Raw genomic sequence first — 26,850 nt, 5'->3', positions numbered from 1 at the left:
GAGCCTTAAAGAGATCTCAAAATATAGTGCAACAAAAATAGCTTTAGTACTTTTGCCCACAATTATTTCTGTGTATCATTAGTGTCTAGATATGGATCTCATTTCCACTGAAGAACCAGTCAATTTTAGGTCACAGAGTAGGAAAACAGAATAGTTCCTAAGTATCTTCCTTGTAGCAGAAATCATGGATGCTTTCAGAAACATTACAGACTGTAAGAGAACAGTGGGGCTAGCTAAGAACAATTTGTGACAATTTGCGTATGAAATATAAATAATAATAGTTAATTGAAGTAAATTATCTCTAAAAGACTTTCAGTTCATAAGCTTAAAATAATGTATGAAAAGATAGTTTTAATATAAGAAGAAAAAAGATAATATACTAATTCTTAATTTTAGTAAGTAGACAGTTGTAGTATATGGATGTTTTGTTAAATCTTTGTTGATACAGAATACATGATTTCCTTTTTCTGTGTGAGAAGTAAAGATTAAACAAAAAATATGTGAGTGCTAAACTGTCTTTAAAAAGTAGATAACTATATCAAAAACAGTAAGGACCAGTGGGTACCACACAGAACAAGCAAATAGAAGATAAGCTCAGCCTTTGAGTAGCAGCTTTGGTAGTATACAATAATGAACTGAAAATAGCAACTCAGCAGTGTTTTCCAAGATGACAGATTAAACAAACATCCCACCAGAAAGAGGTAATCACTTAGACTAATTTCCTCATCCCCTAGGATAAAATCTTAAGTCAGTGACTTGAAAACTGTTTTGACCCAATCCATTGAGAAATGCATTTTTACATTGCAGCCCAGCACACACATATGCATAACTGAAGCAAGAATTGTACTTAACAATACTTACTTATCCATGTGTTATGCACCTTGATATTTCTTATTCTCTTTTACCCCTTCCTCTGTGTGTCTGTGTGTATTCCTTTTCCCCCCAGCCCACCCAATACCGTTCAGGAAACACTGCATTGATTTCATTACCTGTTAATGTGTTGCAACCCCTTTGAGATGATCCTACTAGTTGTGATGAGATGTTTCTAATAAAAGTTCCACCAGTAGAAAATGCCATTATTTCATAAGGCCAGGATGATGACTTAGATAGTACTAATAATACAACACTTTAGGAAAGTTCATTTCATTTTATTTTTAGGAAGGACACTAAGTTTCAAAAATTTAAATTTAAATGAAAGAGGGTCTTAAAACTATTTCAAAAAGGACTCAGCTGAATAATCTGTGGCAGAGGTTTAAATCACCTTGGACCACACTGCCATGTTCCAGAGCTCACCAGGAGCCATCCAGATGAGAGAACACCCAGCCCTTGAGACTTGACTAAGAAATTAAATCCATGTTATCAGCACGTTTTTAACTGGATGTGATATAAGGTTAACATATTTTGTAATCATTGTATTTATAAATATTTTGTCTAAATGTTATGGTATTCCAAGTTTTCCAAAAGAATCAACCAAATACAAGTTATAAATAAACGTTATATTTGTTACGGGAGTTAAGCTAACCAAATTTGTAACCCAGATTTAGATACACAAGAAAATCAGTTTTTAAAGTTTTGTTTAATAGAAAGCAGTGTAATACATCAAACATTAAACAACTAAACATGTATATGAATATTTATTTTCACACACAAAAGTTCTTCAGACATTGATTCTTAAATTCAAAATACCAAAGACATTGTATATACCTTTTCATGTTTTCTAATTGTGAAGAAAATAAATTTTATTTAAAATGTTAATATTTGAATAAAGTATGCATTCATAATTATGTTCTTGTCTTTAAAGTTAATTTTCCAAACAGAACTAAATCAGTTTTATCTTCAGTAGATCTTTTAGAAAGGAAGCAATCCTACCTCATCTAAGTAGAATTTAGTCCTACTAGGAAGACACATTACAAATGTTTTTTGTGGTAATCTTTGAATAGTAAAATGGAAGGTGATTTTGGTTTCCTTTTCTATATGTTCTTGTATTATATTTTTCAGGTTTTTCTCTAAGTTCTTTTCTGTGATTTTTAAATCAGGGAGGAAAAATTAATTCAGTCTAAACACTTAATGTTTCTTCCACAAGAAGTATCCTCATGGCTATTTTGTTATTTTGTTTCACTTAGGGGAAAATGGCTTTGTTGGCCTCAGATAGCTGCTTTATTAGATGTAATGAAGCAGGGGACATAGAAGCAAAAAGTAAAACAGCAGGAGAAGAAGAAATGATCAAGGTAATGGTGACATTTTATACAGATGACTGCATTCACACATGCGATGTGACTGTATCTCTTTAAAATGTTAAGTCATCATTTACTGTCACTTTAAAGATTTAGTTAATAGCTTTTTATAATGTGGTGTTTCAAATAGACTCATTTTAAATTATAAATCCCATAGTTGATGGCTTGTTTATACAATGTGTTAGAGAAATCAGTGCATCTAGGAGCTACCTTGCCATTATCTCCATGGATTAGTATCTTTTTCTGGTAGTTCCACATGCTCTTTTTAAGCTTTCATTTTCTTGTTTTCTTGCTTGTATTTTAAAATCTGATTTTTTAAATAGATAACATGTACACGTGGTCCAACATTTTTAAATAAAAGCATATAAAGATGAAGATACATGCCTGACATGCATCTTACTCACCTGTGTCCCAGCTCCTGTTCCTCGTTCACTTTGTTTTGTTTTTTTATAGCCTCCTAAAGTTTCTTTATAAACATATGAATATATTTATAATTTTCAACTGTTTTACACTAAAGACAACCTCCTCTATAGTCTTCTCGACTTTGATTTTTTTTTTCCTTAAAATTGTATCTTGGAGAGCTTTCTACTATTAGTTTCAATGTAGAAAGTTTTCTCTTTGTCTTGCTTTTCCTCTCTTTCTCTCTCTCTCTTTTTTAACAGCCACATAAAATTCCATTTTAGGGATGTACCTTAATTTATTTAGTCTTTTGTAGATGGAAATTTAGGCTGTTTCCAGTCTTTTGCTCTTATAAACAGTGCTGCAGTACATAACATTGAATATGCATCAATTTATAGATGTGCGGGTGGACCTGAAGATAAATTTCCAGAAGCAGAATTACCAGGTGGGGGTATACGCGTTTGTATTTATGTAATGCTTGAGCTTCTGTGATGATAATCACTCTATGAAACATAAAAAATCATAGCAGAACTTCTGGGGCCTTAGCCCTTACATTTTAAAAATATTTTTATTAATAGTACCTGTCTTCTTTGCATTAGGAGAAACATGAATCACATAAAACATGGTTTTTATTTATTTTTAAAATTCATGTGCATCACTAATCTGGAAATAAAAGTTCCTTATTCCAGGCTAAATTCCCTCATCCATAGTCAGATGTGTTATCCATTGCACCAGTGGCCTGTGCCCTCCCTAATCCTACTCTTTGTTTTACATCATTGTAAAAGTTACACAGACATCTTCATATCAAGGTGAAATTCCAAATAATACTGTTAATATAACCTAGATAAATCAGGTAGTTAACTGGAACTTGACGAAAACATTTAAGGATTAATTTTTTAGACTCACAAAAGCCACTGATCTTTAATGATATGCATATACCAGGATGTGTCTAAAGAATAACTCCCCCCTTCTTGACACATGGTTTTTCTGTGTCTTGGCATTCCATCGTAGTACTGAGCAAAGACACTGATCTTTAATGATAAACATATACCAGGATGCGTCTAAAGAATAACTCCCCCCTTCTTGACACATGGTTTTTCTGTGTCTTGGCATTCCATCCCAGTACTGAGCATCCAGAACCTTACTTTGTTTGTCTCTGTTGGGAATCACAGGTTGCATCCAGTCTGAACCAGATTTGCTCTGTAAGACATTGTGGGGGCCAGAGTGGAAGGGTCTAAGAGAGGGGGCAAATGCCTTTTCTAAAATGCCCTTCATTCTTATAATTAGAGCATAAAAATTTATGTTACATTTTTCTCTACTTCCAGTGTAATTTAAAAGCATCTATCAATTCTCTGTACGTGTTTCATGTTAGATTTCTGGTCATATGTTTGATTTTCTTTTTAGAATAGTCTTGATTTCAGATAATTTCAAATCTAAAGCTCAAACAAATTCAATCTAAAATGTAGGTATTTTCTTACAGTTAGAGAAGTGAAATGTTATATTTTTTCTTTGCATGCATCCAGCACATGCGTTGTAGTCTTGAATTTCCATAATGCTCCTGTGAGGTGGATGTGAACTCAGCCTTACAGACAGGAAGACAGCCTCTGACCCTCCTTACATCCTTGTGGTTTTTGTCAGTCAGTTCATGGAAATCACAGTGATTTCAAGGTGTGGTAAGACAGGATGTGTACCCAGGCCCAGCTGACTCCAGAGGCCACTCTCAGTATTTCATAGCACATTGCTTCTCAGGAAACAGGTCATTGGGGAAATGCAGATGGGTTTGTGACTTACATTTAATTTTATTTATTTATATTTTATTATATCATGTTTAAATTATTTTTCATCTGGATATCATCACAAAAGTGTTACTGAAGGCAACAATTGCAAATATATGTGCAGTGTTTTGCACTTATACAAAGATACACAAAGATTGCATTTTTCATGATTTAAAGCAATTTTCAGATGAAATACAAAGTTTTCTGGGTCTTTTTGGTTAGTCAAGTACTTGGGAGCTCTGAACAGTGATTATTTAGGACTCTTTTTGTACCATTTAATTGCAGACTGTCCTAATCTCTGTCAGCCCTTCACCTTTATGACCTTGCCTTGTCTACCAGAACACAGACCCCTCTTACTAAAGGTAGCATTGTGCTACAGGCCCTAGCAGGGAATGTTTTCAGGTCTGGGACCCCTGTAATCAAAACTGTCACAAAGATGTCATTGGCACAAACACGTTATTTGTCATCACTTTCTAAGCAGCCCTGGAACTGGACTCTGGCCACAGAGATCCCTTAGGAGACATGAGTCCTTACCATTGCCAATTGCCTGTTCTGTGGGCGATCCTAATTGTTGAATGCAGATTAATTAACTTATGACATGTGATAGTAAACATCTATCCAAACTTAGGAGGATATAAGAAGCTAGTAAAAGAGGTGGGTTCCAATTAATTAAAAACAAGTTGTGTAATGTTAAAAGTTTTAATACTTTGGTAATACTCTGTGCAATGTAAAATAGCTATTAAGCTTTTAATCTGATCAAATGAACACTTGTCTACTAGGGATAATTTGATCCCAGTGTATTCACTTGGAGGACAAAATTAAATTAATGATTTCCTTATTGCTTAGCAGGATCTGATATGTAAAATGTTCCTGAAATAATTTTGTTTGTAGTGTTTCTGACACAAGGGCTGTGGAGAAAGCATGTGATAGCACTTACTCATATAGATTATATATATGAAGTAAAAACACATAGCCAGAACCTGTCTTTTTCTGAATATAGTTGCTCAGTTAATTTTTTCTTCTGCATAAGAAATCATCTAGAATGTTCTTATGTGATGCGTAAAGTGTGGAAGGTGGAAGATAAACATATAACCCATTGGATTCTGTTTTCCAATATCTAGATTAGATCCTGTGCTGAAAGAGAAACCAAGAAAAAAGATGACATTCCAGAAGACAAAGGAAATGTAAAACAATATGAAATCAATTATGTGTATGTATGCTTTTCCTTTTAGACCTACAGATTTGACAGTGAAGTGCTTCTCAAAGTGCTTTCAAAATAAATTACCTAATTACCTGGGAATGGTGATGCATGCCTGTAGACCCAGCTACATGGAAGGCTGAGACATGAGGATTGAGCCCAGGAGTTCAAGGCTGCAGTGAGCTCTGATCACCACTGCATTCCAGCCTGAGTGACAGAACAAGACCCTGTCTGAAAAATGAAAACTGATGGACAAGAAGAGGCAACACAGTGTAGCCTCTAGGACAGAGCACTGAGCTAAATGCTTTTCTCTTCTTGAGGGTTCAGTTTTCCTAATCATCCTACCAGCTCCCAAAGGTAGTCACTCGGGTTAGTCAATCTCTCTATTCATTCATAGAATGGGCCTGATGTTTGTCAAAGGCTGTGCTATGGCCAGGACACAGGGGACTCCAGCCAGCAGGCCTTAATAGAAGTGGGGCCTTCTGCTACCCAGTCAATGAGTGGCCCTCCTCTTGAGAGGTTATGAAGGTCATCTTTGATGTTCAAAATCTCCAGCTTATTAAAAAAAATACAATTAGACTTTTTTTTTTCTCCCCCAAGACAGAGTCTCACTCTGTCCCCCAGACTGGAGTGCAGTGCCATGATCTTGGCTCATCGTATCCTCCGCCTCCCAGGTTCATGTGATTCTCCTGCCTCAGCCTCCCGAGTAGCTGGGACTACAGGCGCGCACCACTGCACTCGGCTAATTTTTGTATTTTTAGTAGAGATGGGGTTTCACCATGTTGGCCAGGCTGTTCTCGAATTCCTGACCTCGAGTGATCCGCCTGCCTTGGCCTCCCAAAGTGCTGGGATTGCTGGCATGAGCCACTGTGCCTGGCCTACAATTAGACCTTTTTAATAAGTGAAAAAGAAATTAACAGTATTTACAAATTTAATAGTAAATATGTATAATCAGAGTTTGAGGTATTTTTCAATGAAGACATTTTCTTTGCAGAAAGAAATTTCAGAGCTTCCAAGACCACAAACCTAAAATAAGTAAAGAAGATAGTAAAATTCTTAAAAAGGCTCAGAAAGATGGATTTTTGCATGAGACGCTTCTGGACAGGTAGCTATTTATTTACTTATTTTCACTATTTTCAGTAGCCAATAGAAATGACATGTAGAAAACCTATATTCTCTTAAATTACTGTAGTTTTCACATTTTTGTCTTTATTTCTAATTTATGAGTGTGGCAATATTACCTAGAGAGGACATCATGAGTTTGGGAAAAGACTGTCAAGAAAGAATATCTAAAAATTATAACCGATTCTAAGTATATATTTTAAGAAATTCAGGTTTGACTGTATCTACTTCATAAATTTATCATTATCTTTTTATAACTATTAGAACCAGAGTTAGAAAGAAGCAGTTTGACTAATATAAAAATTATGTGGATTCTGTTAGAGTAGTTCAGGTTCCTTAAAATAAGCATAGATCAACTAAAAAACTAAGTATAAAAACTAAACAAGTGAAATTGAAGCAGTTTTATTGTAAGATTTGGAAGAGTGCAGGATGTTTATCATAGCACACTATTAATATTTATTATTGTTCCTATGTAGATAAGTAATGTCCTAGATTTACAACATAGAAAAACAGGTAGAGACGTTTAGCTGTGAGTGTACAAGTATAAATCAATTAAGTGCCAGATTTTGATAATCACCAGCCGCTCATTCAAGTCCTATGTTGCAAAGTTACTCTTACGCTTTTTTTACATTACTTGATAAAGGCAATCTTTAATTACATATTTTCTATTAACTAGCTGGTAGAGTTCATACCTAAAGTCAGTAAATAATGTTAAGAATTTTTTCCAGCTGAGCAAATGAGTATGTATCTAGTTGTAAGAAATCAAGAAGAGGATATAAAATATAATCAGGATGTGGACTCTAAAACGGAATAACCTCTATGTCCTGTAACTTTTATCACTCGTAATAATACAGTATTCTCACCCTATTAAATGGAAATTTAAAGCACCTTTAAATTCCAGAATAATTAAAATTGCTATTTGGATTGAAAAAGCCCTTAGGCGACATTTATTGAATATTAGGAAATAACTTTTATATGATTAGAATCCATTTTTTATAGAAACCAAATTTGAAAGTATACATATTTTAATATAAGTGTTGTGGTAATACAGTAACCAAAATTGAACATACAGTTTTAAAACTTTTTATATTTAGTAGCAGTTGAATATATATGGCATGTTTTACATAGATTAATTTTACTATTTTTCTTTGTTTAAAAAAGAGAACCAAATTGAAAGCCGACAGATACTGCAAATGACTGGGATTTTTATTTCTGCCTTATCTTTTTGTGTTTTTTTTCTGAATAAAATATTCAGAGGAAATGCTTTTACAGAGTTCTTGAGTTGTTGTGAAATTATTATTTAGGTAGTACCTAGTTTAACCAGGATTAAACAAGTTTAATCAGGATTCTTCATGGATGTACTTTTTAGCTAACTACAATTTTTCACATGGAAATGAAACTTACAGTACACACTTAACATACCACAGAATTTTTTTCTGGATTTCTGGTCCTGAAGCATGAAGTGTAGTAGAAACCAATTCTTCCTGCGCTACTTGTGGAATCTTTCTTACTGGATCATAATCTTACTTACTTTATACAATAGATGCTTAATCAGTGCCTTTAATAGGAAGTTAAAAACTCCCAATCCAATCAACAAGGCTTTGATTCTACCTCCTAAGTAATATCCAGATCGCAGACAATCCAAATATCAGAACTAGGGGGCCGGACAGAGGACAAATCATCTATTAGGGAGTGGGACAGAAAGTAGAAACATTACAAAGGAGCAAGTAGTCTCAGAAAAGAGGGGAGAGTAGTACTGGGAAAACTCCCTACTGAGGACAGGTTTGCCACAGTGGATATGTATGTGATGCTTTTGTCCTCGTGGGCTGGAATGGAAGCTGATAAAGAAGTTCAGACGCTAAGTGTTGCTTAGGTCTGCTTTGTTGAAGCCTGTCTCTTTCAGAGTTCCTAAACACAATATTCCCGTGGCATCTAATCCCAGTGAGTGCTCCAAATCCAGGCTGTGTATCAGATGCCATGGGAAATTCTGCCTCAGGATTGAGGTTGGTTCACGCATCTGGATGATGTCAAAAGTCCACGTTGTGTGCTGGCCTAACTTGAAAGACCCTATCTAGTTCTAGCCTTTAAATTCCTTTTGTCACCAAATCTGGAGTTACATGGCATCTGTACAAGCTAAGTAGCCGAGGCATGGGATCAGCCCTATAAAGGAGCTTTTGGAGCTTTTTTTGTAGGTCTAGCTTCAACTTGGCACTCCAGTTCCAATAGCTGGACTTTCTCTCATCGTGTGTGCTGATCCTTGGATTGGGAACAAAGTAACCACTCTGATCCCTCAAAGCAGTGGTTCCAGTTCCCAACTGGTGACTATTTTGCCTCCCAGGGAACATTTTTGGTTTTCCCAACTGGAATACGGTGTTAGAGAGTAGAGGCTAGGGATGCTGCGAAGCACGTTGCAGAATCCTCTTCCGCACAGAATGCTAACAGTGCCAAGGTTATGGAGCCTTCCCACCCAAGGGCTTGGCCTATTTCTTGCTTTTGCCAGCTCCCTAACCCTTAAACACAACAGTTCAAATCTATATGCATAAGTATCTCCTAGGGACCTGCACGTTTCCAATATCGACTACTGAGACCCATCCGTAGAGATGCAGGCTTAGGAGGTCTAGGATTGGGCTCAAAATTTTCATTTTAACAAGTACTCTAGGTCATTCTGAAGCAAGTGATACAAACCACAGAATGAAGAACACGCCTTCAGGAGACTGAATCTTGCTTCCCAACACTAGCTTGGTATCTGAGACCATCTGCCTGCTGACTGGCTTTCCTGGCACAAACATTCTGCATGTAGGCACAGTGTGTTCCTGGACTCCATGTCAACCCGTTCACCCTCATGTTCCCTTGGTTCCTCTCCCCAGTCCAGCGAGCAGAACTGATTACAGATCTTGACAACAGAAAATACAGATTTAAAATAACTTACCTGTTCCCGTGGACTTTATCCACTAGTGGAGGAGGACAAGTGGACAAGGGGAGAGGGTAGGTGGGGGCTCCTTCCCTATTCCTCCCATTCCACTTTATACAAACCCCAGCTAGACCACTGGGAGAGCAACGGAGGTTAAGAATGACTGCATCTAAATATTGTCATCTGGTCCACTCTTCTTCCATCTTGTACACAAGAATATCATGAGTTTTGCTTAAAGCACTACCGAAACCAAGATAAACTCTGGCTTAGCATGCCCCTGACGGATCAGTCTAGTAATCTTATCAAAACCAAGACTACCTAAAAGCACTAACCAAAGGAAAGCTCCCTCACCCCAACCTATGACTGCTCACATTTTTGAGATTGAATCATTTCAATTGTATTTTAAGATTCATTGACTCTTTACCACCTCCAAGCTTCTCCTGAGCACAACTGATTCTTATTTTTTAATTTTGAAAACTTTCTCACTTCTAGAATTTCCACTTGAGCCTTTGTTATTATTGTAGTTTCTTCTTCTCTGCTGTGATTTCCTATTCATTTATTTTATGGGTTTTTGGGGTTTTGATTTTAGTAAGAATTACAATAACTACTTTAAAAATCCACACTAATTCCAACATCTGGGTTATCTCGAGGTCAGTCTCTATTGATTGCATTTTTCTTTGAATATGTTTCTTTATATGTTTGATATAATGGTATTGAATTCTGAATATTGTAAAACTAGATTTTGTTTTGTTCCTCTGAAAATTTTGATAATTTTATGTTGTATTTGTTGTATTTTGTTTGATTGTTTTTTTTCTATTGTATACTTCACAATATATTTTCCTTCAATGGTTTTAACATTTATATTTCTCAAAATATTTATGTTTATGTTAAAAATTATACAAAGTAACTTGGTGCAGTGGCTCCCATCTGTAATTCCAGAACTTTTAGAGGCCAAGGCAGGAGGGTCACTCGAGCCCAGGAGTTGGAAAACAGCCTAGACAACAGGACAAGACCCTGTCTCCACAAAAAATTATTAGGGTGGTGCAAAGAGTAATTGCGGGTTTTGCCATTACTTTCAATGGCAAAACCCACAATTACTCTTGCACCAACCAATAAAAAAATAAGCTAGGTATGGTGGTGGCGTGTGCCTGTGGTCTCAGCTATTTGGGAAGTGAAGGCAGAGGTGGGAGGATTGCTTGAGCCCAGGAGTTCCAGACCAGCCTGAGACCCTGTCTCTATGAGAAAAAAAAAAAAAAAAATAGCTGGGCCCACGTACCTGTGGTACTTGCAACTTGGGAGGCAAAGGCAGAGGTGCCAGAATCACTTGAGCCCAGAAGCTCAAGGCTGCAGGGCACTGTGATTGTGCCACTGCACTCCAGCCTGAGTGATGGACCATGACCCTGACTCCAAATAATAATAATACTTACAAAAAGGAAAGACCTAGAACACCAGGTTAGGGTTAAGTATTCTAAAATTCAGCTGACTTACTCTGTTCACTATAAAGCAGGTTGCCACAGAAAATATAGCATGCCCAGTTTATTTGAAATTTCAGATAAACAAATACTTTTTTCAGTGTAAGTATATCCCATGCAGTATTTGGGACATGCGTATTATAAAATATTATTCCTTGTTTATCTGAAATTGAAATTTAACTGGGTATTACATAATTATAGCAGCCTGACCATAAAAGATATGAGCTGAGCAAAATTCTACTTTAAACTTCAAGGTTTATAATAAATGCATTATTAATCAAGAACTATTATTTACTGAGACCTGTGTAGATCCCGTATTTATCTTTTTAAATGTGGAACTAGGAAAGCTACATAAAGAACATTTATAGAAATAAATGTCTGTTCTATAGCTGAAAGGAAAACTCTAGCTTTTATTTTTCTCCCCAAACTTAAGGTTTATTCTACATTTGTATAAACAATAAAATTACAGCTCAACTTTGGAAGCACAGATCATAATATAAAAATAAAGCACAGATCCCAGAAACATTTAACAGGCAACAAATCTTTCACATCATCTTACTATTCAACTAAACATATAATAACTTAGAATGATCCATTAATTATAAGTAAAGAATAAATTCTTTTACAAAGCATAACTATTAATATTATTGACCATCATAAGAGCAAATATTTTAAGTAAAACACCATGAATACTTTACAGAAAGGAGCGAGTTGCAGATACAGTCATTCTTGGATTTCTTTCAACACCAGGCTTTCTTCCCTTTTGACCTGAACTGGGAGTTGAATATTTCCTCTCTTTGCCCTCTGACCCTCTAGTCTCTGAAGCATCTTTTGTACTAGAGGTATATGCAGAGACTTCCTGGAAATTTGGATTTGTAAATTGTGCTGTTGTAACTTCTAGGCACTGCAGTGATCCAGATATAGAGCTGTTGCTCTTGCTTGTAAAAGTGTAACATTTTGATTCAAAAAAGGAAGTAAAAGGAAGAGAGTTGATTACATTTGGCTACTGACATTAATAATAATAAATAATAATTGTACTTGTAATATAAACATCTGAAAGTTTTAGTTCTAAGAATGGGTGTCCACATAAGAAAATTATGTAAAAATAATTAATGTCTATTATAATTACTTTTCTTTAACCAAAGAAAAAGTATAATTTAAAGATGGCTGTTTAAGGATCAAATTGCAGCCACTGGTAAAAGTAGATATTAGTCATATTTATTAACTGACACACAGTGATACTGAAGGCACTTATTTCTCAAGAAACATCATTTTTTCCCAACAAGAACATACTACATCCTAGACATGAATTGAAAATAAACTTTGATTTTCATCACAGGAGGGCGACAATCAGAGAACTGAGGTGGTACAGATCCATTAGAGGACCATAACCATGAGTCCATCAGTCTCTACTGTAGGACAGAGCAAGAATTTTAAAGAATCTCGGTGAAGGCTCCTTTTCAAAAAAATACAAAGATTAAAGCCTTTGAAACGTAAATTATTTTTTCCAGTTATTACATTGAGGACAAAGTTATAGTTGCAAAGTTAAGATTTTTATAACTATCCCTAAAATTGATTCTCAGTGACTCCCTTGATCTACATATGTTAAGGAAAAAGGCAAGATAAAGATGTGTTAAATATTTTCCAGTTTTTAATAATCAGCTTTAATATAAGGTATACCCAAATAATGGTTAATTAAATGACAATGAAAGAATGTTATAGCAGATGCTCACTTATCAACATGCCTTGAAATTAAAGGTTTATAAGGTGCATAAGGGCAGTTTTTGATGTTGCCATTACATTCACAAAAGTATCTGAGGCGTGTACAGCATGAAGTTCACTAAATGCTTGCAACTTAACCAGCACTAAATTTTGTTGAATAAATAAATGAATACTTTTGTATAGCATCTGTTCAAAATCTCTGATGTAAAAATGAAAATAATCTGAAAATATGCAAAACTGAAATTTCCCACATACGGCTGCCAGTTCGGACAAACAATAAGATGAATTTCAAAATGAGAACATCAATTGTTTTGAGGACCAAAATTTCACTGCTGCTTTTCTCACACCCTGTTGTTAACCTAAGCGCCCATGCTCTTACTGTCAATAACAGATTTTCATCATCAAATACAAGAAACAGGCTGGGCACGGTGGCTCACACCTGTAATCCCAGCACTTTGGGAGGCTGAGGCGGGTGGATCACTTGAGGCCAGGAGTTTGAGACAAGCCTGGCCAACATGGTGAAACCTCATCTCTACTAAAAATACAAAACTTAGCTGGGTGTGGTGGCAGGCGCCTGTAATCCCAGCCAATCAGGAGGCTGAGGCAGGAGAATCGCTTGAACCTGGGAAGTGGAGGTTGCAGTGAACTGAGATCGAGCCACTGTACTCCAGCCTGGGCGACAGAGCAAGACTCTCCCTTAAACAAATAAATACACAACACAACAGAATCACTGGGACACATTCAAAGCAGTGTGTAGAGGGAAATTTATAGCACTGAATACCCACAAGAGAAAGCAAGAAAGATCCAAAACTGACACCTTAACATCACAATTAAAAGAACTAGAAAAGCAAGAGCAAACACATTCAAAAGCTAGCAGAAGGCAAGAAATAACTAAAATCAGGGAAGAACTGAAGGAAATAGAGACATGAAAAACCCTTCAAAAAATTAAGTAATCCAGGAGCTGGTATTTTGAAAAGATCAACAAAATCGATAGACCACTAGCAAGACTAATAAAGAAGAAAAGAGAGAAGAATCAAATAAGCGCAATAAAAAATGATAAAGGGGATATCATGACCAATCCCACAGAAATACAAACTACCATCAGAGAATACTAAAAACACCTGTATGCAAATAAACTAGAAAATCTAGAAGAAATGGATAAATTCCTTGACACATACATCCTCCCAAGACTAAACCAGAAAGAAGTTGAATCTCTGAACAGACCAATAAAAGGCTCTGAAATTGTGGCAATAATCAATAGCTTACCATCCAAAAAAAGTCCAGGACCAGATGGACTCACAGCTGAATTCTACCAGAGGTACAAGGAGGAGATGGTACCATTCCTTCTGAAACTATTCCAATCAATAGAAAAAGAGGGAATCCTCCCTAACTCATTTTATGAGGCCAGCATCATCGTGATACCAAAGCCTGGCAGAGATACAACCAAAACAGAGAATTTTAGACCAATATCCTTTATGAACATTGATGCAAAAATCCTCAATAAAATACTGGCAAACCGAATCCAGCAGCACATCAAAAAGCTTATCCACCATGATCAAGTGGGCTTCATCTCTTAGATGCAAGGCTGGTTCAACATATGCAAATCAATAAATGTAATCCAGCATATAAACAGAACCAAAGACAAAAACCACATGATTATCTCAATAGATGCAGAAAAGGCCTTTGGCAAAATTCAACAAAACTTCATGCTAAAAACTCTCAATAAATTAGGTATTGATGAGACATATCTCATAATAATAAGAGCTATCTATGACAAATCCACAGCCAATATCATACTAAATGGACAAAAACTGGAAGCATTCCCTTTGAAAACTGACACAAGACTGGGATGCCCTCTCTCACAACTCCTATTCAACATAGTGTTGGAAGTTCTGGCCAGGGCAATTAGGCAGGAGAAGGAAATAAATGGTATTCAATTAGGAAAAGAGGAAGTCAAATTGTCCCTGTTTGCAGACGACATGATTGTATATCTAGAAAACCCCATTGTCTCAGCCCAAAATCTCCTTAAGCTGAAAAGCAACTTCAGCAAAGTCTCAGGATACAAAATCAATGTACAAAAATCACAAGCATTCTTATACACCAATAACAGAAAAACAGCCAAATCATGAGGGAACTCCCATTCAAAATTACTTCAAAGAATAAAATACCTAGGAATCCAACTTTCAAGGGAGGCGAAGGACCTCTTCAAGGAGAACTACAAACCATTGCTCAATGAAATAAAAGAGGATGCAAACAAACGGAAGAACATTCCATGTTCATGGGTAGGCAGAATCAATATCGTGAAAATGGCCATACTGCCCAAGGTAATTTATAGATTCAATGCCATCCCCATCAAGATACCAATGACTTTCTTCACAGAAATGGAAAAAACTACTTTAAAGTTCATATGGAACCAAAAAAGAGGCCGCATTGCCAAGTCAATCCTAAGCCAAAAGAACAAAGCTGGAGGCATCACGCTACCTGACTTCAAACTATGCTATAAGGCTACAGTAACAAAACCAGCATGGTACTGGTACCCAAACAGAGATATAGATCAATGGAACAGAACAGAGCCCTCAGAAAAAATGCTACATATCTACAACCATCTGATCTTTGACAAACCTGAGAAAAACAAGCAATGGGGAAAGGATTCCCTATTTAATAAATGGTGCTAGGAAAACTGGCTAGCCATATGTAGAAAGCTGAAACTGGATCCCTTCCTTACACCTTATACAAAAATTAATTCAAGATGGATTAAAGACTTACATGTTAGACCTAAAACCATAAAAACCCTAGAAGAAAACCTAGGCATTACCATTCAGGACATAGGCATGGGCAAGGACTTCATGTCTAAAACACCAAAAGCAATGGCAACAAAAGACAAAATTGACAAATGGGATCTAATGAAACTAAAGAGCTTCTGCACAGCAAAAGAAACTACCATCAGAGTGAACAGGCAACCTGCAGAATGGGAGAAAATTTTCACAACCTGCTCATCTGACAAAGGACTAATATCCAGAATCTACAATGAACTCAAACAAATTTACAAGAAAAAAACAAACAACCCCATCAAAAAGTGGGCAAAGCATATGAACAGACACTTCTCAAAAGAAGACATTTATGCAGCCAAAAAACACATGAAAAAATGCTCATCATCACTGGCCGTCAGAGAAATGCAAATCAAAACCACAATGAGATATCGTCTCACACTGGTTAAAATGGCGATCATTAAAAAGTCAGGAAACAACAGGTGCTGGAGAGGATGTGGAGAAACAGGAAAACTTTTACACTGTTGGTGGGACTGTAAACGTGTTCAACCATTGTGGAAGTCAGTGTGGCAATTCGTCAGGGATTTAGAACTAGAAATACCATTTGACCCAGCCATTCCATTACTGGGTATATACCCAAAGGACTATAAATCATGCTGCTATAAAGACACATACACACGTATATTTATTGCGGCAGTATTCGCAATAGCAAAGACTTGGAACCAACCCAAATGTCCAACAATGATAGACTGGATTAAGAAAATGTGGCACATATACACCATGGTATTCTATGCAGGAGAAAAAAATGAAGAGTTCATGTCCTTTGTAGGGACGTGGATGAAACTGGAAACCATCATTCTCAGCAAACTATCACAAGGACAAAAAACCAAATACCGCATGTTCTCACTCATAGGTGGGAATTGAACAATGAGAACACATGGACACAGAAAGGGGAACATCACTCACTGGGGACTGTTTTATGGTGGGGGGAGTGAGGAGGGATTGCTTTAGGCGATATACCTAATGCTAAGTGACGAGTTAATGGGTGCAGGACACCAACATGACACATGTATACATATGTAACAAACCTGCACATTGTGCACATGTAACCTAAACCTTAAAGTATAATTTAAAAAAAAAGTCAAGAAACAACAGTTGCTGGAAAAGCGGTGGAGAAATAAACACTTTTACACTGTTGATAGGAATGTTAATCATTGTGGAAGACAGTTTGGCAATTCTGCAAGGATCTAGAACCAGAAATACCATTTGACCCAGAAATCCCATTACTGGGTATATATCCAAAGGACTATAAATCATTCTATTATAAAGATGCATGCACGCATATGTTTATAGCAGCACTATTCTCATTAGCAAAAACATGGAATCAATCCAAATGCCCATCAGTGATAGACTGGATAAAGAAAATGTGGTACATACACGCCATGGAGTACTATGCAGCCATAAAAAGGAATGAGATCATGTCTTTTGCAGGGACATGAATGAATCTGGAAACCATCATCTTTAGCAAACTAATACAGGAACAGAAGACCAAACACCACATGTTCTCACTCATAAGTGGGAGCTGAATAATGAGAACACCTGGACACAGGGAGGGGAACAACACACACTGGGGCCTGTCATTGGGGATGGGGAGGAAGAGCATCAGGAAGAGCTAACGCATGTGGGGCTTAATACCTAGGCACCTAGGCTGTGGGTTGATAGGTACAGCAAATCATCATAGTGCACGTTTACCTACGTAACAAACCTGCATGTTCTGCACATTTATCCTGGAATTTAAAATAAAATTTTAAAAAATAAAATAAAATGAAAACAAGAGTACTGAAAATTGGCTCACAGTTCCACAGCCTGTACAGCAAGCATGATGCTGACATCTGCTCAGCTTCTGGGGAGGCCTCAGGACACTTAACAATCATGGTGGAAGGGAAAGCAAGAGCAGAAGGAAGAGAGAGAGGGGGAAGGTCCTACACACTTTAAACAACAAGATCTCATGAGAACTCTATCACAAGAGCAGCGCTAGGGGGATTATGGTTAACCATTAGAAACTGCTCCCATGGACCAGCCACCTCGCAGCAGGCCCCATCTCCGACAGTGGGAACCACCGGAGGCTGCTCCTGTGGACCAGCCACCTTCCGGCAGGCCCCGTCTCCAACACTGGGAACCACTGGAAACTGCTCCCATGGACCAGCCACCTCCCAGCAGGCCCCATCTCCGACACTGGAGATTACATTTCTATAGAAGTTTCCAATAATTTTGGAACACATATTAATAACATATTTATAAAAATACAGTCCAAAGTAGCCCAAACATCATTCACTCTTCTATTTGAAAGTTTTCCCTCTATTCTAATGTCACAATCTCCAGGGTTATTAATCAGAATCCTGCATTTAAGGGCATCTGTTAAATTTTATAGCTGATTATAAAACCATCATTTAAAGAGGACCAAAATGAGACAATTGTCTATGGATGACAAAAACATTAAGGGCAGCCACAGTTAAAGACATCAACAACAGCCTTTAAAGTAGAATTTGCTGTAGAGCCTATTATGAGGGAGATATTTCTAGCTATTACCTCTTTTATTCTAAACCATGGAAAAAGGACCTATCAAATAAAGTCCTTCTAGAAGAGTGAAGGGCTCCTGGCAATATACTCTTTAATCCATGATGTGGGATAAGGGGAGTTTTTACTGATTATGAGGCAATGTATATACCACTAAAGTTTCAACACCCCAAAAGGAAAAAAAAGGGGGGGAGGGAAGTCCTGGAAGAACCAGATGGAGCCGTAGCAGAAGATGATTTCAATCCACTGTCCCCTGAATTGTGGGCTGGTTGTGCTGCATCGCTCTGTGACTTATGATTCTGCCACAACAAAGATCTAATTCCCAGGGTTATAGGAAAAGACACCTGTGGTACCCCTGAGGCAGAGAGAAGGGAGAAATCCAAACCTGACTTAAGTCTAGGGTTCTTAAACCACACAATCTGCTCACAAGGAGGACCTTAACTCTGAAGATACTGATTTGGGGCTGTTTCAAAGAAAGAAATTATAAATATGAGTGGGAAAGAGAACAACCTTCGCCATATCCAGTGGCAAAAAAATGAGAGAGAGGGAAGAAAGGAAGGAGGGAAGGAAGGAGAGGGAAGAAAGGAGGGAAGGAAGGAAGTAGGGAGGGAGGGAGGGATGGAAGGAAGGAAGGAGAGAGGGAAGGAAGGAATGAAGGAAGGAGAGAGAGAAGGAGGGCAGGAAGGAAGGAAGGAAGGAAAGAAGGAAGGAGAGAGGGAAGGAAGGGGGGAGGGAGGGAAGGAAGGAAAGAGGGAAGTGAGGGAAGGAAGAAAAGGAAAGAGGGAAGGAAGGAAAGAGGGAAGGAAGGAAGGAAAGATGGAAGGAAGGAGGGAAGGAAGGAAGGGAAGGAACTTGGATATGCACAAAAACAAAATTTAAATTAAAACGGAATTCTATCATCTGACCTAATTGGAAATGTACTATTTTCTAAAATAACTTATACAGTCCAAAGGTAAAAGGGTGCTGATTGGTATTTGTAACTCTCCAGCATATATTCGAATCAATTTTAACATCTGCTGAAATCTACCAATTGGCATACCTTCAAAAACTTAATCAATACTGGAGCTCAAACTTTGTTATACCTGAGATTTCACTAAATTTAAACATTGCGTCCCCTAATCCTAGCAGAGTAACTGCATATAGAATAGAGGACACATAGTTATGCCTCACATTTGTTACCTTGACTAAATTTCCCATAGTCATAGAAGCCTTTGTCCATAGGGGACCTGGATGCTCTGACCCAATGAGTAACAGATTGATATTAAATCATTTGAACTTACACATTGACTTCACCAAATGTAACCTTACAGAACTCCCTCTCCTGTTTTTTTTTTAATTTGATTTATTTTTAATTTTTCATTTTTTTTAGAGATGGGGTCTTGCTCCATTACCCAGGCTGAATGAAGTGCGGTGGCACATTCATAGCTCACTGCTGCCTTGAACTACTGGGCTCAAGCAATCCTCCTATTTTAGCCTTCCAAGTAGCTGGGATTACAGGCATGTACCAGCACAGCCAATTAAAAAAAATATAGAAGTGGAGTCTTGCTATGTTGCCTAGGCTGGTCTCTAACTTCTGGGCTCAAGCAATCTTCCTGCCTCGGCCTCCCAAAGTGCTGGGATTACAGGTGTGAGCCATCGTGCCTAGCCTCCCCATCTTGATAAATTATCAAATATGATCCAACATAAATTACAACATGACTTCAAATAAATAAAACTTATTATATAAGACCTAATTAATTAGTGAAGGGGTGATAATCCTCATTGCTTCAATGTTTAGCAGTAGAATTTGGCCTGTTCTTAAACCTGCAAATAATAAATGGTGTTTCACAGTGGATTACTGTAATGTGACTGCAGTGTTCCCTTCCATTCAGGCCCTCGTACCCAATGCCTAATATTGTGGTTAATTTTTTTTTATTTCAATAGGTTTTTGGGGAATATGATGGTATTCTTTTTATTTCAATAGGTTTTGGGGAAACAGGTGGTTTTTGGTTACAGGAATAAGTTGTTTAGTGGCGTTTTCTGAGATTTGTGGTGCACCCATCACCCAAGCAGTGTACACTGTACCCATTGTGTAGTGTTTTATCCCTCACTGCACCCACCCCACCACTCCCAGCCTTTCCCTGAGTCCCCAAAGACCATTGTATCATTCTTATGCCTTTGCATCCTCATAGCTTAGGTCTCACTTATGAATGAGAACATACAATGTTTGGTTTTCCATTCCTAAGTTGCTTCACTTAGAATAATGGTGTCCAGTTTCATCCAGGTTGCTGTGAATGCATTATTTCATTCCATCTTACGGCTGAGTAGTATTCCATGTGGTAAATATTTATACCACATTTTCTTTATCCACTTACTGATTGATGGGCATTTAGGCTGGTTTCAAATTCTTCTAACTGCATATTGTGCTGCTATAAACATGCGTGTGAAAGTATCTTTTTCATATAATGACTTATTTTCCTCTGAGTAGATATCCAGGAGTGGAATTACTGGATCAAATGTTAGATCTGCTTTTACTTCTTTGGAAATCTCCTCACTGTTTTCCATAGCTGTTGTACTAGTTCACATTCCCTCCAAAAAGTGTAAAAGTGTTCCCTTTTTAACACATCCATGCCAACATCTATTAGTTTTTGATTTTTTGATTATTTCCATTCTTACAGGAGTGAAGGGGTATCATATTGTATTGTGGTTTTGATTTGCATTTCCCTGATAATTAGTTATGCTGAGCATTTTTTTCATGTTTGTTGGCTAGTTGCTTATCTTCTTTTGAGAATTGTCTGTTCATGTCCATAGCCCACTTTTTGATGGGATGTTTTTCTTCCTGGTTTGTTTGAGTTCCTTGCAGATTCTGGGTGTTAGTCCTTTAATCAGAAGTACAGATTGAGAAGATTTTCTCCCACTCTGTAGGTTATCTGTTTACTCTGCTATTTCTCTTACTGTGCAGAAGCCTTTTAGTTTAATTAAGTCTCATCTATTTATCTTTGTTTTAGTTGCATTTGCTTTTTGGGTTATTGGTCATGAAGTCTTTGCCTAAGCCAGTGTCTAGAAGGTTTTTTCCAATGTCGTCTTCTAGAATTTTTATGGTTTCAGGTATTAGATTTAAGTCCTTGAACCATCTTGAGTTGATTTTTGAATAGGGTGAAAAATGAGCATCCACTTTCATTCTTCTATGTGTGGCTTGCCATTTATCTCAGCACCATTTGTTGAATAGGGTTTTCTTTCTCTGCTTTATGTTTTTGTTTGTTTTGTTGAATATTAAATGACTGTAAGTATTTGGCTTTATTTCTGTGTTCTCTATTATGTTCCATTGATCTTTATGGCTATTTTTATACCAGTACCATGCTGTATTGGTGACTATGGCCTTCTAGTATAGTTTGAAATCGGCTTCTAGATTTGTTCTTTTTGCTTAGTCTTGCTTTGGCTATACAGACTCTTTTTTGGTTCTAGGCTTTTACTATCTTAAGGTATTTCCCTTCTATGTCTTTTTTAGTTCCGTGTGAATTTTTGTAGTTCTGTGAAGACTGATGTTGGTACTTTAATGGGGATTGCATTGAGTTTGTAGATTGCTTTTGGCAGTATGGTATTTTCACAATATTGATTTTACCCATCCGTGAGCATGGGATATGTTTCCATTTCTTTGCATCTATGATTTCTATCAGCAGTGTTTTGTAGTTTTCCTTGTAGAGGTCTTTTGTCTCTTTGGTTAAGTATTCCGGATATAATTAAGATTTTGTCTGCAAAGATTGCATGCAATTGACAATTATAGGAATATACTATTTTAATTATAGGAATTATAATATTCCTAAGGTTTTTATTGCAACTATTGTAAAAGGGGGTGAGTTTTTTATTTAATTCTCAGCTTGTTCACTATTACTGTATAGCAGAGCCACTGACTTTTGTACATTAGTTTTGTATCCTGAAACTTTGCTGAATTCATTTACCAGTTCTAGTAGCTTTTGGGATGAGTCTTTAGGGTTTTCTAGGTATACGATCATGTCATCAGCAAAGAGTGACAGTTCGACTTCCTCTTTACCGATTTGGATGCCCTTTATTTCTCTTATCTGATTGCTCTGGCGAGGACTTCTAGTACTATGTTGAATAGAAGTGGTGAAAGTTGACATCATTGTCTTATTCCAGTTCTCAGGGGGAATGCTTTCAACTTTTCCCCATTCCATATAATGTTGGCTGTGTGTTTGTCATATATGGCTTTTATTACCTTAAGGTATGTCCCTACGATGTTGATTTTGCTAAGGGTTTTAATCATAAAGGGATTCTGGATTTTGTCAAATGCTTTTTCTATGTCAATTTTGCTGAGGGTTTTAGGCATAAAGGGATGATGTATTTTGTCAAATCCTTTTTCTGCATGTATTGAGAGGATCATGTGATTTTTGTTTTTAATTCTATTTATATGGTGTATCACATTTATTGACTTGCAGATGTTTAACCATCCTGCATCCCTGGTTTCTCTTCAGATCGTATACCTCTTTCACCTTATGATGGTTAATTTTATTTGCCAAGTTGGGTTGCCTAGATATTTGGTTAAACACTGTGGATGTGTCTGTGAGGGTGTTCCTTGATGAGACGAACATTTGAATATGTAGACTTAGTAAAGTAGTTGCCATCCCCAGTGTGAGTGGACCTCATTCAATCCATTAAAACCCAAATAAAACACAAGGGTAGAGGAAGAGAGAATTCACTCTCTTTGATGATTTCAGAGCTGAGACGTAGATCTTCTCTCGCCTTTGAAGTCAGACGTGGACTGTAACTTATGCCATCAGCTTTCCTGGTTCTCAGGACTTTAGGTTTGGACTGGAACTCCAACATTGGCAGTCCTGGTTCTCCAGTTTGCTGACTGCAGGTCCTGGGACTTCTTAGCCTCCATAACCACATGAGCCAATTCCTTATAATAAACCTATATATATTCATGCAACTGATAAATATTTTGTTGTTACAGATTTGGCTACCATGTTCTTCTGGTGCCTATTTTAACAGAGTCTCAGTCATAGCCTGCCTTCATCTCTGAAGGGACCAGGCGACCCACGGAGTGCCTCGGCAGCCTTGTCATTGCATGCAATCTTCACAGACAACATCTCACTGCAACCACCTTTCTACAGGAGCACAGGTGTGACATTATACTGATGACATTCTCAGAGAAAATTCATTTTACACACTAAGGACACACAGATACAAGGAGACTTACACAAAGGGAATGGACTTTTCCCAACACAGTAGTGCAAGGCCCTGCCACTTTGCTTCAATTCCTGAAATTTCCTTGGTAAATATGGGGCTGCCCTACTCCTGAGACTTTCAAAAAATAGTTATTCATCCTCTCAGCATCCACAATGTTAATACAAGCCTAATATTCTTTAATTTGTGTTTTGTTTTTTGGAGGCACAGTCTTGCTCTGTCACCCAGGCTGGCATGAAGTGGCATGGTTTCCACTCACTGCAGCCTCGACCTCCTGAGCTCAAGCAGTTCTCCCATCTCAGCCTTCCAAGTAGCTAGGACTTCAGTTGTGTGCCATGACACTCAGCTAATTTTGTTTATATTTTTGTAGAGAAAAGGTCTCGCTATGTTACCCAGGCTGGTCTCAAACTCCTGTGGTGAAGCGATCCTCTTGCCTCTGCCTCCCAAAGTTCTGGGATTACAGGTGTGAGCCACTGTGCCCAGCCTTTTAATTCTTTACTTGGGGTTCAGGTGACAATATATTTCTTATTTACAAATCTTACTTAATCTCACTGATGCTGTCATTGGCAAACTGACCCACCTTGAATGAAGCCTCCTCCAAGTCTGGAATCTGTCCGAATTTAAATTAGCAGGTGCTGCTATGAATTCCCTCAGAGAACACACTGTGGATGCTTTAGCAACCTCTTCCTATGCCTCCTGAAGTATCTGGGTTGCATATGGTGGCCATAAGTAGTCCATGGGCTTCTCATGTAAAAAACAAACCTGCCCCTTTTGACCCTGTTCTGTACAGCATCAGTGCAGCGATTGCTGACCACATGCTGGACTCTCTGGAAACAGAGGGCTCTGCATCCATGTCCTTGAGGCTTCATGCCCATCTGGCCATCAGGCCTTGGGAAGCAGCACCCCACAGCCTTGGCACAGCTGCAGAGACCTCCTTGAATCAGGATGGAGTCAAACCTGGACCCCCTGCCATTCTCATCTGCAGGAAACACTGGCCTCCTTCATCCTCAGTCTGTGTTGCTGGAAGTCACCCATCTCCAAGGCCCCTTGGGATCGACTGAGTGACCAGCAGTGAAGTTCGTCCACCTTCTAAATGGATGCCATCATCTGACGTGATGGAGCTCAGTGGGATGCTGCTGCCTTACCTCGCTTAGCTAGGATGTCCCTGATAAAGGATGACACCAAAGCTTCAGCACAACTGGCCAAACTTGAGGTGGTCATCTCAGCACTGATGCTGGGCCAACAATTAGCCCCATTTGTACATTTTTACAAATTTTTGGCAATTGCCAAGAATTGTCCACCTTCCCTCCCCATTGAATTAAAGACACTTCTTGCCTCATGGATAGTCAGAATACAGTCAAGGTAACAGATGCCTTTTTTTTAACCAAGGACACAGTACAGATCTCACAGGGACACTCCTTATCCCCTACAGAGAGTTCCAGACACTACTGATGGTGACCAAGGCAACATTTCAACAGAAAACACAGTGCTAGGCTTGTGAAAGTGTCCAGTAGGGCTTCCACTGCCCCTATAGGCTGCAGGCAGCTGCTTTAGTTGAGAGATAGACTGAGCTCCTCGAAGAATTCCTATTTAAGTTACAAAGCAGCGAGTGGATGCCCTGCTGGGTTCCACTGTTGCCACAGGCTTTGATTACTCTTAAGTTCATGCTTCTTAGGAAATTGCACTTTTTACACCAGTGCTACACAGTTCCCTCAGTTGCCTTTACTGGACATCAAGGAGTTCACATTTTTGACAACCATTCAGTCCTGGACAGTCCAAGGGGTGGAGGTAGCTTCGTACAGGAATCTGCCTGCTGCGTGTGGATCAGTAATATCAGAATTGCCCAACAACTCACTGGAGATATGAAAACCAATGCATGGGGGATGCATGACGTCACCCAAATATTTATGAACACGCTTGTGCTGCCAGAGACCCCAGATCTCTAAACCAATGCATGGGAAATGCATGACGTCACCCAAATATTTACGAACAGGCTTGTGCTGCCAGAGACCCCAGATCACTTTTCCTGCCTCCTGCTAAATAAATGGGGGCAGTAGATTTGCATCGGTTTCCACATTACATTACTCATAACTGTGGCCTTCCTAATTTCTCATGTCCCTAAGCACTTATTACAATGTCTCAGCAGCTTTCTCTCAGCCTCTCAAAATATTAGTCATCATGAAAATAAATGTCTGATGTTAAAGCATCAGGGGTTAATTGTATTGTGACACCTAAAATTTCATGCAGCACCCCACCATGTTCTCAGCCTAATGGCTTTCATGCCCCCACCAGACTGCAAAACTCTGAATTCAAGCACATCCATGAAGGGACCAGGGGTTACCCCACCCTCTGATTTCTACCAAGCCTGCCTCCCACACCCTCTGTTCCAGAGTGCAAGCCTGGGTAGACCTGCATAAATGCAGCGTCATCCCCCTGGCTGAGTATGTGTGACGAGTAAATTACTGGGAATTTCGTCTGCTCAGTGTTTGTTTTGTCTGCAGCCATTCCCAGAATTCTAGGACAAGACTAGCTTCTTTGCCAATGGGGTGAACACGAAGGAACCCAAGTAGGAATTGCCTTTTTAAAAAAATCCCCTCCCACTCTCTTAATTATGTAATGCATACATTTTTATAGCTTTTTTGCTCATTCCATTACCTGAGGTCAGCCACTGATATTTAACCCATCCTTAGCCTCGGAGGAGGACAGAGGAGCACTCGTCATATTGATTTCCCTAGCGGTGACATGATTTCCTCCTGTGCCACTCAAATTCTCTCCTTCTTTAACTTGATGCTCAGTAGGTTGTGTTTCACTCGTCTTTGCAGATTGTTAGGAAGATGAGAATCAGCTTTCATATTTGATGTTGCCATAGAGAAGACTCCATGGTAATGTTTATTTGCACAATCAACTTTTTCTTTTCCCCCAGAAATTGCAAATTCTTATGTGAGAGACAGCTTTCTGGAGTCTGCAAACATAGAGTATCATCTCCCTTTTGATGGTAAATTTATTATATCCCCACCATCAATAAAATACTTACATATAATTTTGGCATGTCATATTGATTGCCAACTACACGTAAGAACATTCCTTGATTTTAAATCTAGACTAATTATGAAAATTTGGGTAGTCACAAAAAATTATTGTGCACAAACTTATAGACCTTAGGATTAAATGAGTTACTATTAACTAATATTTATTGTGCAGTCAGTGTATGGCAGAAGCTTACTATGTACTATTTCATTTTATACTTAAAACAGTATTCTATGCAAAATGCTATAATTTCACCTTGTCTACAATTTGGACATGATAAAACTGGGTCTCGTAAAGTTTTCACCCCAGAGTTCTCTGATTAGTAAGAAGTAGAAATAAGTTTAAACCTAAGTTATCTGATTTCAGAGCCCATATAGTTAAATGCTCTAAATGCAGCTTCCCCTGGTGATGGTGACTATGAGAGCCTGTCACATATGATGTAGGACAGTGCTTCCCTGTAA

General features: G+C 38.0%; 1 protein-coding gene across 5 annotated transcripts; it reads left to right on the top strand.

The window, feature by feature from the left end:
* Positions 1-1,312: 1,312 nt before the first annotated feature.
* LOC102724813 (protein FRG1B) lies at positions 1,313-25,568 on the top strand. 5 transcript variants are annotated; one of them, XM_011546191.4, is made up of 5 exons: positions 1,313-1,390; positions 2,124-2,228; positions 5,530-5,618; positions 6,601-6,711; positions 24,348-25,568. In XM_011546191.4, exons 2-5 carry the CDS (start codon positions 2,130-2,132, stop codon positions 24,421-24,423), a joined length of 375 nt encoding a protein of 124 aa, XP_011544493.1. In that variant the 5' UTR covers positions 1,313-1,390; positions 2,124-2,129; the 3' UTR covers positions 24,424-25,568. The 5 variants fall into 5 exon arrangements, with proteins under 5 accessions (XP_011544493.1, XP_047298754.1, XP_011544494.1 ...); XM_047442798.1 differs by lacking the exon at positions 24,348-25,568 and adding an exon at positions 23,130-23,292; XM_011546192.3 differs by lacking the exon at positions 24,348-25,568 and adding an exon at positions 9,380-9,562.
* Positions 25,569-26,850: the final 1,282 nt, after the last annotated feature.

Source organism: Homo sapiens, assembly GCF_000001405.40.
Source record: "Homo sapiens chromosome 9 unlocalized genomic scaffold, GRCh38.p14 Primary Assembly HSCHR9_UNLOCALIZED_CTG4".
Taxonomy (NCBI): Eukaryota; Metazoa; Chordata; class Mammalia; order Primates; family Hominidae; genus Homo; species Homo sapiens.
Note: the sequence above shows the minus strand (reverse complement) of the source record. Positions and strands in the feature narration are given on the sequence as shown.

Bases quoted from the DNA above. Each gene is read 5' to 3' on its own strand.
- LOC102724813 (XM_011546191.4), top strand. From the start codon at position 2,130: ATGGCTTTGTTGGCCTCAGATAGCTGCTTTATTAGATGTAATGAAGCA. The intron at 5,619-6,600 runs GTATGTATGCTT...TTTTCTTTGCAG, and splicing joins CAATATGAAATCAATTATGT to AAAGAAATTTCAGAGCTTCC. The intron at 6,712-24,347 runs GTAGCTATTTAT...TCTCATCTGCAG, and splicing joins CATGAGACGCTTCTGGACAG to GAAACACTGGCCTCCTTCAT.